The 14873-nt window shown below is 41.7% G+C and overlaps 1 protein-coding gene across 2 annotated transcripts in view, besides 3 other annotated features; it reads right to left on the bottom strand.

The window, feature by feature from the left end:
* Positions 1 to 13857, bottom strand: part of ADORA2B (adenosine A2b receptor) — a 125385-nt gene extending 111528 nt beyond the window's left edge. The window contains exons 1-4 of one of the 2 annotated variants that reach the window (XM_047435373.1): positions 13722 to 13857; positions 13549 to 13648; positions 5401 to 5482; positions 62 to 164 (exon numbers count right to left, since the gene is read on the bottom strand). The gene's annotated coding sequence lies outside the window, so the exon portion shown is untranslated. Of the gene's footprint in view, positions 1 to 61; positions 165 to 3213; positions 3356 to 5400; positions 5483 to 13548; positions 13649 to 13721 lie in introns of those variants that run through there. The other variant, XM_047435374.1, reaches the window with a different exon arrangement.
* Positions 4884 to 5480: an enhancer, noted in NCBI's record as "NANOG-H3K27ac hESC enhancer chr17:15762053-15762649 (GRCh37/hg19 assembly coordinates)". NCBI's record gives its function as "activates a minimal SCP1, AML or CMV promoter by ChIP-STARR-seq in naive H9 embryonic stem cells {active_cell/tissue: H9 hESC(naive)}" and the evidence as "EXISTENCE:reporter gene assay evidence [ECO:0000049][PMID:30033119]".
* Positions 5481 to 6077: an enhancer, noted in NCBI's record as "H3K27ac hESC enhancer chr17:15761456-15762052 (GRCh37/hg19 assembly coordinates)". NCBI's record gives its function as "activates a minimal SCP1, AML or CMV promoter by ChIP-STARR-seq in naive H9 embryonic stem cells {active_cell/tissue: H9 hESC(naive)}" and the evidence as "EXISTENCE:reporter gene assay evidence [ECO:0000049][PMID:30033119]".
* Positions 6474 to 7429: an enhancer, noted in NCBI's record as "H3K27ac-H3K4me1 hESC enhancer chr17:15760104-15761059 (GRCh37/hg19 assembly coordinates)". NCBI's record gives its function as "activates a minimal SCP1, AML or CMV promoter by ChIP-STARR-seq in naive H9 embryonic stem cells {active_cell/tissue: H9 hESC(naive)}" and the evidence as "EXISTENCE:reporter gene assay evidence [ECO:0000049][PMID:30033119]".
* Positions 13858 to 14873: the final 1016 nt, after the last annotated feature.

The raw sequence follows: 14873 nt of genomic DNA, 5'->3' as shown, positions 1-14873 counted from the left end.
GTACTGGCACAGGCCTACTACTGCCCAGGGCTGGTGGAAGCTGGCTGACATTGTCCCTTACCATGTAACCTTCTGTCTTCTTCTGGTACCATTTCAGTACAGCATTGCACTTGAAACCGCCATATTCCCGGGCCAAGGCCACCAGAGGGTTTCTTCTTTCCACACTGGTTAGAGAGAAGAGCACGTTAAGGAGAAGATGCTAATGTTTAGAATCCTCAAATTCACAAGAACTAAATACCTACTTTAGAAAAGCAAATGTCTGGTTTATTCAGCCAGAATCTGAAGAAACAACCACATTAGTTACATTAATAATGTATTTGATGTCTCACAGTGTGAAATAAACATGAAATTGTGCCTCCTGACTGTCATGAGTCTGGGGAGAGTTTTGCTACATTTTGTTTTAAAATCCATCTGTTGCTCATCCATCTAGTCTTTTATTTGTGTAAATATAATTCAGGCTAGAACTTTAATTCAAACTCATTTGAATTAAGGGTATCTATACAAAAGCATTCTACAGGTTTCAAGACTACATCAGTATCTAAATAACATTTAAAAGGTAGAGACGGGCACAGCACAGTGGCTCACGCCTGTAATCCCAGCACTTTGGAAAGCTGAGGCAGGAGGATTACCTGAGCCCAGGAGCTTGAAACCAGCCTGAGAAACATAGTGAGACCTCAACTCTGAAATAAATAAATAAATAAATAAATAAGCTGGGCATGGTAGCGCACACCTGTAGTCCCAGCTATTCAGGAGGCTGAGGTGGGAGGACTGCTTGAGGCCAGGAGTTCAAGGATGTAGTGAATTATGATTATACCACTGCACTCCATCCTGGGCAACAGAGCGAGACCCCCATCTCTAAAAAATAAAAAAAAATTTTTCAAGGTATATTGGAAGGGCATATTAAAAATACCAGATATCCTGCCATTGCTTTATCTCAATGAGATAAATGTAAAATTGAAATAAATTGATTTTACTAATTTAACTTTTCACTATGAAAGATAAAATATCAGAAGCATATTAATATACCCATAGCCTTCCTGTATGCATTTCTGGTATAATGAAAAGGAGAATTTTAGAATAGCACTAATTCTGGTTTTTAAAACCTCTTTTGATTATTTAAATCTCGCGCACATAAACAGGACAATATGTAATATCTGGGGCTTTAAATTAAACCTCTAAAATATATGACTTCATCTATTTGGGTGCAAATATAGGCTACATCCAAAGGTATAACAATAAGTCCTAGCTTATTCATTCAGACTTTCATAAATCCTTTGATAGTACCCTTATTAGTAATGATAATATGTATTAAAAAGCTACTACTAGCTACTTAGGAGGCTGACGCAGGAGAACTGCTTGAACCCGAGGCAGAGGTTGCAGTGAGACTCTGTCTCCCAAAAAAAAAAAAAAAAGCTATTACTCCAAAAGTAGCCGATTTTGTATACTGATAAATAAACAATACGTTCATATTGTATATGAATGAGCATACTCATTCGTAAGTTTTACTGAGTGAAATGTTATGTGTGTTGCACAATGCAAGGGGCTGGGAGAGATACCAAAGGTAAGCTGAACATTTACTGTCCACTAAATTACAGCATAAATGGAGATTAAGGCATATATTGTGCAGAAGTTATCCACACCACAAAGCAGTACAGAAATTAAACACCTGAAATAGCGTAAGACACCAAAGTCAAAGAAGGGAGATGTTGGCCAGGCATGGAGGCTCACACCTGCAATCCCAGCGTTTTGGGAGGCTGAAGTGGGCAGATCAGGAGTTTGAGACCAGCCTAGCCAAAATGGTGAAATCCTGTCTCTACTAAAAAAAATACAAAAATTAGCTGGGTGTCATGGTGCATGCCTTTATAATCCCAGCTACTCAGGAGGCTGAGGCATGAGAATCACTTGGACCCAGGAGGCAGAGGTTGCAGTGAGCCCAGATCACGCCACTGTACTCCAGCCTTGGTGACAGAGTGAGGATCTGTCTCAAAAAAAAAAAAAAAAAAAAAAGAAAAGAAAAGAAAAGAAAAAGAAAAAAAAAAGGGAGAAGGGAGCTGTCAATGCTGCCAGGTGTTAGCTATAACTTCATGAAAGTTTTGACCTTTAAATAAAGAGAACAGTATTTAGACTGTGAAAGGACAAAAGGAGGACAATTCAAGTTAGAACCTTATACACAAAGACTTACACTCAAATATGCTTGTGCACTATTGCTAAGGCACGGACTAAAACAGGTTCAGGTGGAGGGAGAGGCTGGGCCATTCTGGCAGGTGGGCAGGGGTGGTGCTAAGTAGTGGAGCATCTAGAAGATCAGGATGAGGAGTGCAGAGGACAGAGTCATGGGAAATTTCTGCAAGGTCTGCAGCAGGATGTGCTCAGTGCTTCAGAAGATTAACCAACATGAAGAAGCAGGAAGACATGAGAGAGGAAACAGTTGAAAGAGGTTTGCTGTAACCTGGGTGACCAGGGGCACTGAAAAGGGAGGAGGTGACAGAGGTGTGGCAGCAAAGACCACCTCTTAGGGACCACCCTGTTGGTCTTGCAGTCCTGCCCTCTGCCAAGCCCTCCTTCACATCCCTGCCAAAGTCCTCCTTAAACACTGATTTCAAAATGCCTCTCTAATCCTTACATGCCACTGTTTTCTGATGACTCCTCCTTAAAATATGGGTCCAATCTCACTGTACCATAACTCAAAAACAGGAATAAAATCCCACAAACTTGGTGGCTCCTCAGTGCTTTATCAAAATAAAGCACAAACCTCTTCCTTAGCAATGAAGATTTGCAATATGGCTCCAACCTGCCTTCCAGCTGGAATGTCCTAGTCACCTATCCATCCACCCAACAAATACTGACAGAGAGCCTACCATGCATATATATGGCAGAGTCCCTGGCCTTAGGAAGCCCAGTCTAGTCCAGACACACATTACCACCCCATTCCCTGAACTTCTACTTCTCTCTACATTTCTTATGCCAACTAACAACTCTCAAGTACTTTGCCTATTTAGTATTGTCTTTTTACAGCTCTTAATTTAATCTTGCACACTACTTACTGTCCAGCATCCTCCTTTTAAACTCACTGAAGACGGGCACTGCATCTTAATTATTTTCATGCAGCAAGTATTTGTCGAAGTCAATTGTCCAGGAGGACAAAACAGAAGGAACAATCAAAGCTGATCAGCCCTATGTTTTTCTGATTTCTTACTGTTTGAGACATGATACCTGAAACTGCTTCGTGGTTCCCTCTTTCTTGGGGCCACTTCCACTTTCCCTCTGGTGGAGGTGCTCAGCAGTCTCATGTCCCCAAAGTCCAGAGAGTGGGGGTCTGCTGAGTGACTCCAGCAAGGAACTCTTGCAGAGGTGGGGGTCTGGCTTCAGTTCCTAGGTCCTTCCCTTTCAAAGATCGGTGGGAACGACCACATAATCACCTATTCCTGAAGAAGAGGCTCTTGATTGCCATCAAACATCATTCTCCAGTACAACACAGTTCTCATTTTATCCTCAAGTATAAACATATATATGCTTCTGATGTAATGAAAATGCAATAGGGACGTGGATTCTCCAGGCAGGACCACCACTTCCTTTATAGGATCTATATGCAAATCAACCCTTGTTCAAAAATTATTGTGAATTTCAAGACGATGTCATCAGAGCATTAAACCCAGCATGCACCTTATGAAATTGCCCTTACCTGGGGAAAGACATTACCTGCCCCCAGGTAATGTTTTAATTGACAGACATCAGAGAGAGAGAGAGAGACAGAGTGGCAGGAAAATGCCTCAATGTGATGACCAGGTCACAGGCAGCGGCAGGCAAGAAGGAAACTGGGAACCAAGAAGAACTTTTTTACATGAGAAAGGCCATTCCAGCCACAGGGCCCGGTTCAATAAAAAAGCAGAAATCATTCTGTAGCAGATAAGAGCTGCAGACAAAACCCCTCAGACACTGAATTAAAGAAGGAAGGGGTTTATTCGTCTGGGAGCATCAGCAAGACTCCTGTCTCAAGAGCCGAGCTCCCTGAGTAAGCAATTCCTGTCCCTTTTAAGGGCTCACAACTCTAAGGGGGTCCACGTGAGAGGGTCGTGATCGATTGAGCAAGCAGGGGGTACCTGACTGGGGGTTGCATACACCAGTAATTAGAACGGAACAGAACAGGACAGTGCTTCACAGTGCTTTTCTTATGCAAATAACCGATTAGGTCAGGGGTCGATCTTTTAACTACCAGGCCCAGGGTGTGGTGCCGGGCTGTCTGTGGATTTCATTTCTGCCTTTTAGTTTTTACTACTTCTTTCTTTGGAGGCAGAAATTGGGCATAAGACAATATGAGGGGTGGTCTCCTCCCTTAATTCTTTCAAGGCTCTTTCTGCTGTCATATTAGTCACAATCAAAACAGATAATGAAATAGACTGAATCCTCCAGATGATATTTCTTTTTCTTTTTTAGATATGGAGTTTCGCTATGTTGCCTAGGCTGGATTTGGACTTAACCTCCTGGGCTCAAGTGATCCTCCCACCTCAGCCTTCTGAGTAGCTAGGACTATAGGAGCATGCCATGATACCTGGTCAGATGATATTTCGTAAAGGACCATAAAAATACAGAACAGGATAAACCTTTCAAGATTGTCTAGTTTATAGTTATAGGGGAAACTGGAGCTGAGAGAACTAAGTGCCTTGTTTAGAGCTACATAGCAAGCCAGAGACCAGGCCCACAGTTGCTGCCCATGACCCACAAACAGTCACGGAAGAAAACAATCCTTCTACAGCTCACAGCCACCAATTATGGGTACTAAAGTTGGGAGTGGGGCTAATTAGCTCTAAATAGCAGAGAAAAACAGTATTTACGTCACTAAAGAGAACAACAAAAACAGCCCATTAATCCCTGTTTCTGCAGCTTCTGATGATCTCAATGTTGACAAGCAACTTCTGGGGATTGCTGGAAGCAAGCAATTGTCACTGTGATCCTTTATTACAGTAAATAGAATCATCCAAGCAGACAGGTGCCTGGAGGGGGCTAAGTGGGGAGTACTGTCAATGAGGTATTTACTTCAGGGCAATAGTTGTTGTGGTCTCAACTTTAGTATGCATCTTGGCAATTAAAAGAATGGTTTTTTTGGCCAAGCTTGGTAGTTCACATCTCAGTGCTTTGGGAGGCTTAGGTGAGAGGACTGCTTGAGGCCAGGAGTTCAAGACCAGCCTGGGCAACAAAGCAAGACCCTATGTCTTTAAAAAAATCAGCAACAAAGTTTCTGTCTCCCTAGCACAAGCACACTGAGAGGTGCAGCTGGCAGGAGATAAGACACTTATTCCTTGTGTCAGCTGCACTGCTGGATCTAACGTCCATGACACGTCCATTATTCTGGGGTTGAAACTGCAGTAAGTCAAAAGTCTTTTATGTTTATATATAATTTACCTGTAAGGGGAAGGTCAGGAAGGTTCAAGCATTGAGTCATCCCTTTGCTGGCCGACTGCACACTGCTCTAAGCCAGATGCCTCTGTAAAAACCAGGGGGGCAACAGAATGGTGAGCTTGTAACATCAAGAACAGCACCAACACAGGTGCGTGTGTGTGTGCGCACGCGTGTGTGCGTCCAACAGTTCTTAAACACAGTGGAATAACTGGGGGAGTTTTTAATTAACTCATTTATTCAAATAGGTAATATATGCAATAGACACAATCCTCAAAAGAAACAAAAAGGGCAAATAGTGAAGAGAAAGTCTCCCTTTCACTCCTGCACCCCAGTTCTCCTTCCCAAGAGTGCTCATTACTAATCAGCTTTGTGAATATCTTTCCTGGAATGTTCTCTGTATATTCAAGGACGTGTGTAAAAGCACTCTATTTTGAATGGCCAACAAGTATATGAAAAGATGCTCAACATCACTAATCATCAGGGAAATGCAAATCAAAACCACAGTGACATGCCACCTCACACCTGTTAGGAAGGCCATCATCAAAACCCAGAAAAAAACAAGTGCTGGTGAGGAGGCAGAGAAACCCTTGTGCACTGTTCATGAGAGCGTACAATGGTGTAGCCATTACGGAAAACAGTATGGAGGTTCCTCAAAAACATAACAATAGAACTACCAAATGATCCAGCAATGCCACTTCTAGATATTTATCCCAAAGAATTGAAAACAGAATCTCAAAGAGATATTTGCACTCTCATGATCATTGCAGTGTTATTCACAAAAGCTGAGGTGGATGCAACCCAAGTGTCCACCACCAGATGAATGGATGAAGAAAAGATGGTACATAATATACAATGGAATATTATTACCCATAAAATGGAGATATTCACCCATAAAAAGGAAATCCTGTCTCATGCTACAACATAAATGAGCCTTGAAGACATTATGCTAAGTCAAAGAAGCCGGTCACAGAAGGACAAATGTTGCATGATTCCATGTATGTGAGTGTATTAGTCCACTTCACACTGCTATAAAAACAAGTCAGTTACCTCCAAGATACAATGGGAGTACAGGCATTGAATAAATGCTCCTGTTCCAAATGGGAGAAATTGACCAAAATAAAGAAGCCACAGGCCCCAGGCAAGTCCAAAACCCAGTGGGGCAGTCATCAAATCTTAAAGCTCTGAAACGATCTCCTTGACTCCATGTCTCACATCAGGTCACACTGATCCAAGGGGTAGGCTCCTATGGTCTTGGGCAGCTCCATCCCTGTGGCTTTGCAGGGTACAACACCCCTTCTAGCTGCTTTCACGGGCTGGTGTTGAGTGCCTGTGGTTTTTCTGGGTGCACGGTACACACTGTCAGTGGATCTACCATTCTGGGGTCTGGAGGATGGTGTCCCTCTTCTCACAGCTCCACTAGGCAGTGCCCCAGGGGGGTTCTGTGTGGGGGCACCAACCTCACATTTCTCTTTTGCCCTGCCCTAGCAGGGGATCTCCATGAGGGTTCCATCCCTGCAGCAGATTTCTGCCTGGTCATCCAGGCATTTCCATACATCCTCTGAAATCTAGACAGAGGTTCCTAAACCTCAGTTCTTGACTTCTGTGTACCCACAGGCCCAACACCACATGGAAGCCACCAAGACTTGGGGCTTGCACCCTCTGAAGCAATGGCCCAAGCTGTACATTGGCCCCTTCTGGCCACCACTGGAGCTAGAGCAGCTGGGACACAGGGCACCAAGTCCCAAGGCTGCACAGAGCAGGGCGGCCCTGGGCCCAGGCCACAAAACCATTTTTAACTCCTAGGTCACTGGGCCTGTGATGGGACAGGCTGCCACCAAGATCTCTGACATGTCCTGGGGACATTTTTTCCCACTGTTTTGGTGATTAACATTCGGCTCCTTGTTATGTAAATTTCTGCAGCTGGTCTGAGTATCTCTTCAGAAAGTTGGTTTTTCATTTCTATTGTACTGTCAGGCTGCAAATATTCCAAACTTTTATGCTCTGATTCCCTTTGAAACATAAGTTCCAATTTCAGATCATTTCTCTCAAGTTCAAAGTTCCACAGATCTCTAAGGCAGGGGCAAAATGCCATCAGTCTCTTTGCTAAAAGACAGCAAGAGTGACCTTTGCTCCAGATCCCAATAAGTTCCTCATCCCCATCTGAGACCACCTCACCCTGGACTTCATTTTCCACATCATATCAGCATTTTGGTCAAAACCATTCAACAAATCTCTAGCAAGTTCCAAACTTTCCCACATCTTCCTATCTTGTTCTGAGCCCTCCAAACTGTTCTAACCTCTGCCTGTTACCCAGTTCCAAAGTCACTTCCACATTTTCAGGCTATCTTTATAGCAGTACCTGACTCTACTGCTACAAATTTACACTATTAGTCAGTTTTCACGCGGCTATAAAGACCTTCCCTGAGGCTGGGAATTTATAAAGAGGTTTAATTGACTCACAGTTTCACATGGCTGAGGAGGCTTTAGGAGACTTACAATCATGGTAGAAAGGGAAATAGGCACCTTCTTCACAAGGTGGCAGGAGGAAGGTGGGGGAAGGCGGGGACAGAGAAAGACAGAGTGCATGTGGAGGAGGAACTGTCAAACACTTATAAAACCAGGAACTGTCAAACACTTATAAAACCATCAGATCTCGTGAGCACTCACTATCCGAAGAACAGCATGGGGGAAATGGACCCCATCACATCCCACCAAGTCCCTCCCTAGACACATGGGGATTATGGAGATTACAATTCGAGATGAGATTTGGGTGGGGACACAGAGGGAAACCGTATCAGTGAAGAATCTAAAGTAGTCAAACTCAGAGAAGCAGAGAGTAGAGTGGTGGCTGCCAGAGGTTGTGGGGAGGGCAAGTGGGGAGTTGTTCAGTGGGTACAGTTTCAGTCAAGCAAGATAAAAAAGTTCTAGAGGACAAAAAGATGGCAACAATAGACATTGGAGAGTGGTAGAATGGGGAGGGGGGCAAAGGTTGAAAAACTACCTATTGGATACTATGCTCACCACCCGAATGATGGGATCAATTGTACCCCAAACCTCAGCATCCCACAATATACCCATTGTAACAAACCTGCACATGTACCCTGAATCTGAAATAAAGTTGAAATTTTAGAAAAAGTTTCTGGAGATCTGCTGTACAACATTGTGCTTATAGTTAACCGTACTTAAAAATTTGTTAAGAGGGTAGTTTTCATGGTGTATTTGTTTTACCACCATTAAAAAAAAGCATTTCAGAATGCAGGTGAGAGTGATATTATTCAAGGAAAACCCTTGAAGAAAAACCCTCTGTTATTCTAAAAACACAAATGTTATCACAGGATTCCATTGCTTTGCATACCGTTTTGCTTCTTTCACTTACTGGTCATTCTCTATCTACCTTTTTGGTGGCTTCTCATGGGAAGTGTTACACAAGAGGCCAAGCACAGGGCTCTGGGGCCACATAGCCACCAACCAGCTGCACAACTCTGGGTTACTTCATCCTCTGTGCTTCATTTTCTTTATCTATAAAATGGCACTGATATAAATAGTACCTACCCCAGAGGATTGTTGGGGGGGATTAAATGAGTTAAATCTGGTCGGGTGTGGTGGCTCATGCCTGTAATCCCAGCACTTTGGGAGGCCGAGGCGGGTGGATCACTTGAGGTCAGGAGTTCAAGAGCAGCCTGGCCAACATGGTAAAATCCCATCTCTACTAAAAAAATATAGAATTAGCCGGGTCTGGTGGTGCAGACCTGTAATCCCAGCTACTTGGGAGGCTGAGGCAGGAGAATTGCTTGAACCCAGGAGGTGGAGGTTGCAGTGGGCCAAGATGGTGCCATTGCACTCTAGCCAGGGCAACGAGCAAAACTCCGTCTCAAAAAGAAAAAAAAAAAAAAAAGAGTTAAATCCAGTTAGAACAATCAAAACATGGCCTGGTACATAGTAGACATTCAGTAGATTTTAGCTATTTTCATTACCATAATTTATTTGATCGATTCTCTGTTAATACTGGCATTGATATTGATATAAGCATTAGGAAACGAATATCCTGGTACATCTGTCTGTGCACATGAGTGAGGAGGGCCATTGTGAGGTTTTCCAAAGCATTCTTTCCCTTAGAGGTCCTACTCCACATCGCATTAAACACAATTCCATGTATCCATGTCTCACATAAATATAATGGTATACAGTTTTCAAAAGTAGTTTTATATCTTGCTTTTGAAATGAGCTGAACAAAAGTGACAATATGGGGCATTCCTATCTCATTCATAATCTTGTGGGAAAGCGTCCAATATTTCACCATTAAGTATGACGTATGATGTAGATATATAATAGAGACCCTTCATCAGATTAAGGAATTGCCCTTCTATTCCTAGTTTTCTAAGACTTTTCATTAAGAAAGGTATTAATCTTTACTGAACATATTTTCCTATCATCTACTAAGATGACTATACTTTTTATATACCTTTGTTAATGTGGTAAATTAACTGTGGTTGGTTTCAGTAGTTAAAACCACCTTGCATTCCTCGAATAAACCCAATTTAACATGATCTTTTAAATGTATCTCTGAGGCCAGGCGCGGTGGCTCACGCCTGTAATCCCAGCACTTTGGGAGGTCAAGGTGGGCAGATCACCTGAGGTCAGGAGTTCGAGACCAGCCTGACCCACATGGAGAAACCCCGCCTCCACTAAAAATACAAAATTAGCCAGGCGTGGTGGTGCATGGCTGTAATACCAGCTACTTGGGAGGCTGAGGCAGGACAATCACTTGAACTTGGGAGGCGGAGGTTGCGGTGAGCCAGGATCGTGCCATTGCACTCCAGCCTGGGCAACAAGAGTGAAACTCCGTCTCAAAAATAAATAAGTAAATAAATAAATAAATGTATCTCTGAATTAGGTTTTCCAAGATTTTGTTCTGGATTTTTGCATGGAGGTTCATGAGAGACACTGACCTTTTAATTTTCCTGTCTTTTAATGTCCTTGCAAGAATTAGGTATCGAAGATACACTGGCCTCTTAAATGATCTAAGAAAGTTTACCTTTTTTTCTAGTCTTTTTCTAGTCTCTGTATGAATATATATAAGATTGGTGTTATTTCTTCCTTAAATGTTTGGGAGATTTCATGATGAAACCATCTGGGCCTCCTGGCATTTCCTTTGAGAAAATTATTTAAATTACAGACTATCAGGATTTCCTACTACTTTTTATGTCAGTTTAGTAAGTGATGTTTTTCTAAGATTTTGACCATCTCATCAACATTTTCTAATTTATAGAGTAGTACTATACAGAGCACTAATCTGTAATCTCCTCATCACTGTTTTCATAATTATGGGATCTTTAGTGATACACCCCTTTAAAAATTCCTGATATAGCTAATTTATACCTTTTCTTTATATCAGCCTTGTCAGAGGTTCATCAATTTTAATAATCTTTTAAAAGAACAAACTTCATGCAGAACTTTTTAAGATAATCTTTTCATCACAAGTACACTGGTAAAAAAGAAATCTGTTTTTGTTGTACTGAAAGCATCTTCCTTTTGTGTTCACCTTTGAAGGGTATTTTCACCAAGTACGGTATTCTAGGAAAGCAGGCATTCCTTCTGCATTTTGCAGACGCCACTGCATTGTCTTCTGGCTTCCATCATTTTTGTTGAGAAGGCAGATGTCAGTTTTAGCTCTTGCTCCTTTGATATTAAGGTTTCTTTTTTCCCTTTGAGTGCTTTTACGATGCTTTCTCTTTCATTACTAGCAGTTTTAGCCTAATGTGTCTAGGTGGTTTTCTTTGCACTTACTTTGCTTTCGGTTCATGTTGTTCTTGAATCTAGGGCTTAACATCTGTTTAGTTTTCAAAATTCTTGGCCATTATCTCTTCCAATACTGCTTCTGCCCTATCTGTCTTGTTTTTCTTGTTTTCCCTTTTGGGGACTCCAATTACACATTAGATCTTTTCACCCCATCCCATGTAGCTCTTATGTCCTTTTCTCTATTTCCTATTCTTTGTTTTCTCTGCGCTTCAGTTCAGATATTTCTATCAACTTGTCTTTAGTTCCTTAAGCCTCTCTGAAAATGTTTAATCTACAGGTAAACTTTGTTGAGTCTTAAATTTAGGCATTTTATTTTTAAGTTACAACATTTCTAATGGATTCTTTTTTATAGATTGTGGTTTTCTGCTGAAATTATCCACCTTGTTACTTATTTTCTTTACTGGATTAATCTCAGTTGTTTTAAAGTCCGTGTCTAATATCTGGATCTCCTGTGTCTGTTTCTGTTGCCTAGTTTTCTCTTGTTTTTTTCATCATTTGGTATTATCTATTTGTATACTTAGTATTTTTTAAATTGACTATGACACCATATATTTTTTTAATGTGGCTATAAGTTGAGGTTCTGGATGATGTAATCTTCCTTCAAAGAGTATTTATTTCTGAGTCCAGAAGTCAGTTAAGATAGGGAAAGATCACTTAAATTCAAACCCATGTTTCTATGGGTTTTAAGACTGAACAAATAAAAGACTTCTTTAAGATGTTAAGGAAGAATATTTTCATAATCTAATAGCTAGAAAGGTCTTTTTAAGGTAGGAAACAAAACACTTAAAATCATAAAGGAAAGCACTGAATACAAGATGCAACATTTTTCTTCAGTAAAATATAACTTCAAAGAAAGTTCAAAGAAAATAATAGCATTACATATAAAAAAGCTAAAAAGCACAATATATCAAGATTTCTTACAAATAGGAAAAAGACTAATACCTCAAAATAAATACAGGCAAAGTATGTAAGTTTTCATTCACACATATAAAAAATAAACCGTCTGTAAACATACGAAGTGCTCAACCTTACTGAAGGACAAAGTAAATCAAGTTATTATTGTTCATTTACTTAATCTTTAAAATTTATAGAGTGTGAAAATTCTGGGAAAACAGTACCTTGCATGGTATGAGTGGGAGGGTAAACTGAGGGCAATGTGTCTATCAAGTTTTTCAACGTGCCAGGACAGGTCAAATACACTTCCTTTTCTAGGACTCCATTTTCCTTTTCTAGGAATCAATGTGTGGAAGATCTCAGGACAGGCTCACTTGATTCCATCCTTGTCTCTTTGAAGGGTGATTTACTGACTTATATGAGACTGGAAAGCTAAGGGGTGTATTTGCCAAAGTCCTTAAAGCTTGGCTTATTAAGTGGCCTAGTTTCTGTCAAACAGGCCCCTTCTCAGAGGACGTGGAAGGTACAGGGAGTAGAAAGCTGCCCTTCTGCAGCTTCTCCTGGCAAGCATGGCTGGGAAGGCATTTGCTGTTCTGTGGCAGGGAAGTGGAGATTCTTAGGTCTGTTCCATCATCTTCTGGGCAGTATGAGGCAGGCACAGAGCATGGTGTGCTGGCATGGACTGCACCTGTGGCTGTGTGGTCCCAAGGCTGATCCTAGATCTTGGCAGCAGTGGTGGACCTGGGCATGTACCTACAGAAAGACTTCCTGATTCTGGCAGGAACAGAAGCTCCTTTACTGGACCAGCATTGAGATGCTCTGGGAACCCTTCCTGGAAGCTCAGTGGACAGAGCCTACTGCCTTCTCCAGCCCTTCCAGTACCAAATGCCCTGGATTAAATCCCTTTCTGCTTAACTACAGTGATCTCTCATATTTGCAAATGAATCTTGATCCACCCTTATGCAGAAATAGCCCCTTTAGTGGTCAAAAAATTGCATAAGGATCTTCACTTTATTGTTTACCCCAAGTAACCTAAAATCTATCAGTAGAAGTATGGCTATATAAATTGATGTGTATTATATAACCTTTACAAAAAGGAATCATTTCTCCAAATGTTGCAATGTAAAGATGTCTCAGACATATTCCTTTATTCATTCAACAAATATTTGTTGAGCTTCTATCATGATGTGACCATGTTTCACTCCCTGTTACCGACAAAAGATGTGTTAGCAAGCAAAATAAACAAAAATCTTGGTCCTCACGGAGCTCACATTCCAATGATAAAGTGAAATGAGTAAGTGTTGGACTAACGTGTAGTATAATCCAATTTACACAACACACACCCTCTCTCTACACACACAGACACAGACACACACACACACACATATGTATAAAGAAAAACATCTAGAGGGATATACAACAAACCATAAGCAGTGGTTATTCCTGGGGCTCATCTACCTGGCAGGAGAGACAGCAGCTGCTGGGGAGGTCCTCATTGGTATTTCGCTTAGGGGGCTTCTAAGGGCCTTATGGACAGAAGTATTCTGTCCAGTTCCATCTGCCAAGAAAAGAGATGGGAACATTTACATGTTGTTCCAGTTCAAAATAGCAAATAATACTTTTTGATTTACCTCTTTGGTGACTTGAGAAGTATTCCATGGTGTTTAGTGTGATATTTATTATTCTTTTCTCCTCTGGACTAGAGCTGAATTGGAGAAATGAGAGGGGAGGAGGAGTTAGCTGAGTGGAGGCCAGTCCTAGATGTAGGACAACTGAGTAAAACGAATATGTTTAAATAATGAGGTGCCTAGGGGAGGAAGGAACAGGAAAGTTCTTGCACAAACTGTGACTGTTAATTCATTTCCCATTTTCACTGACTCACTCACTGGGCTTTCATGTCTTTCAATATGTGTAGTTTAATCTTCATTTAATTTAATTGCAAACTATTTTAGCAGAGATAATAACCGGGTACATTCTAGGATTAATTTTTACTACAGCCTTTTTTTTTTTTTTTTTGAGACAGAGTGTTGCTCTGTTGCCCAGGCTGGAGTGAAGTGGGGCGATCTCGGCTCACTGCAAGTTCCACCTCCCGGTTCATGCCATCCTCCTGCCTCAGCCTCCTGAGCAGCTGGGACTACAGGCACCCACCACCATGCCCAGCTAATTTTTTGTATTTTTAGTAGAGACGGGGTTTCACCATGTTAGCCAGGATGGTCTCAATCTCCTGATCTCGTGATCTGCCCGCCTCGGCCTCCCAAAGTGCTGGGATTACAGGCGTGAGCCACCGCGCCCACCCTACTAGAGTCTTTCAATACAATGGCATGTTCATTGAAGTCCAGGAAGAAAGATACTGTTACAGTGGACAGATGCATATTGTTTCTTCTATTTGCTATCTTTATGTGTACAGTATATGTATGAAGTATAGCTATGCATCTTTCTCATACATGAAGATAAACATGACTAAAGGGGTATTGTGAGTCTATCAGAAAATTCCAGGAAACCTGGGAGCACACCAAGATCAGAAGTGACAGATCAACACAGGTGCTCACATACAAGACCAGGTAGAAAAATGTCTAGCAGGCTGCAAGATGGGGATGGCCAAGGGTGCCTACAAAAGGGTCAGGTGCACAGTTGTGATGCCTGGTTTCCTTGGAGATGAAGCCTCTGGCTGACCGTGCTATTTCTCATGAAATAAGAAAATGGCAAATAGTAGTGACCTGAATTTAATGGCTATGAGAGGCAGAAAAGAAATGAGGCAAGGCAGGAACTGGAGAGGAGGAAGA

Source organism: Homo sapiens, chromosome 17 (genome assembly GCF_000001405.40).
Source record: "Homo sapiens chromosome 17, GRCh38.p14 Primary Assembly".
Classification (NCBI taxonomy): Eukaryota; Metazoa; Chordata; class Mammalia; order Primates; family Hominidae; genus Homo; species Homo sapiens.
This window is presented reverse-complemented; position numbering and strand designations above follow the sequence as displayed.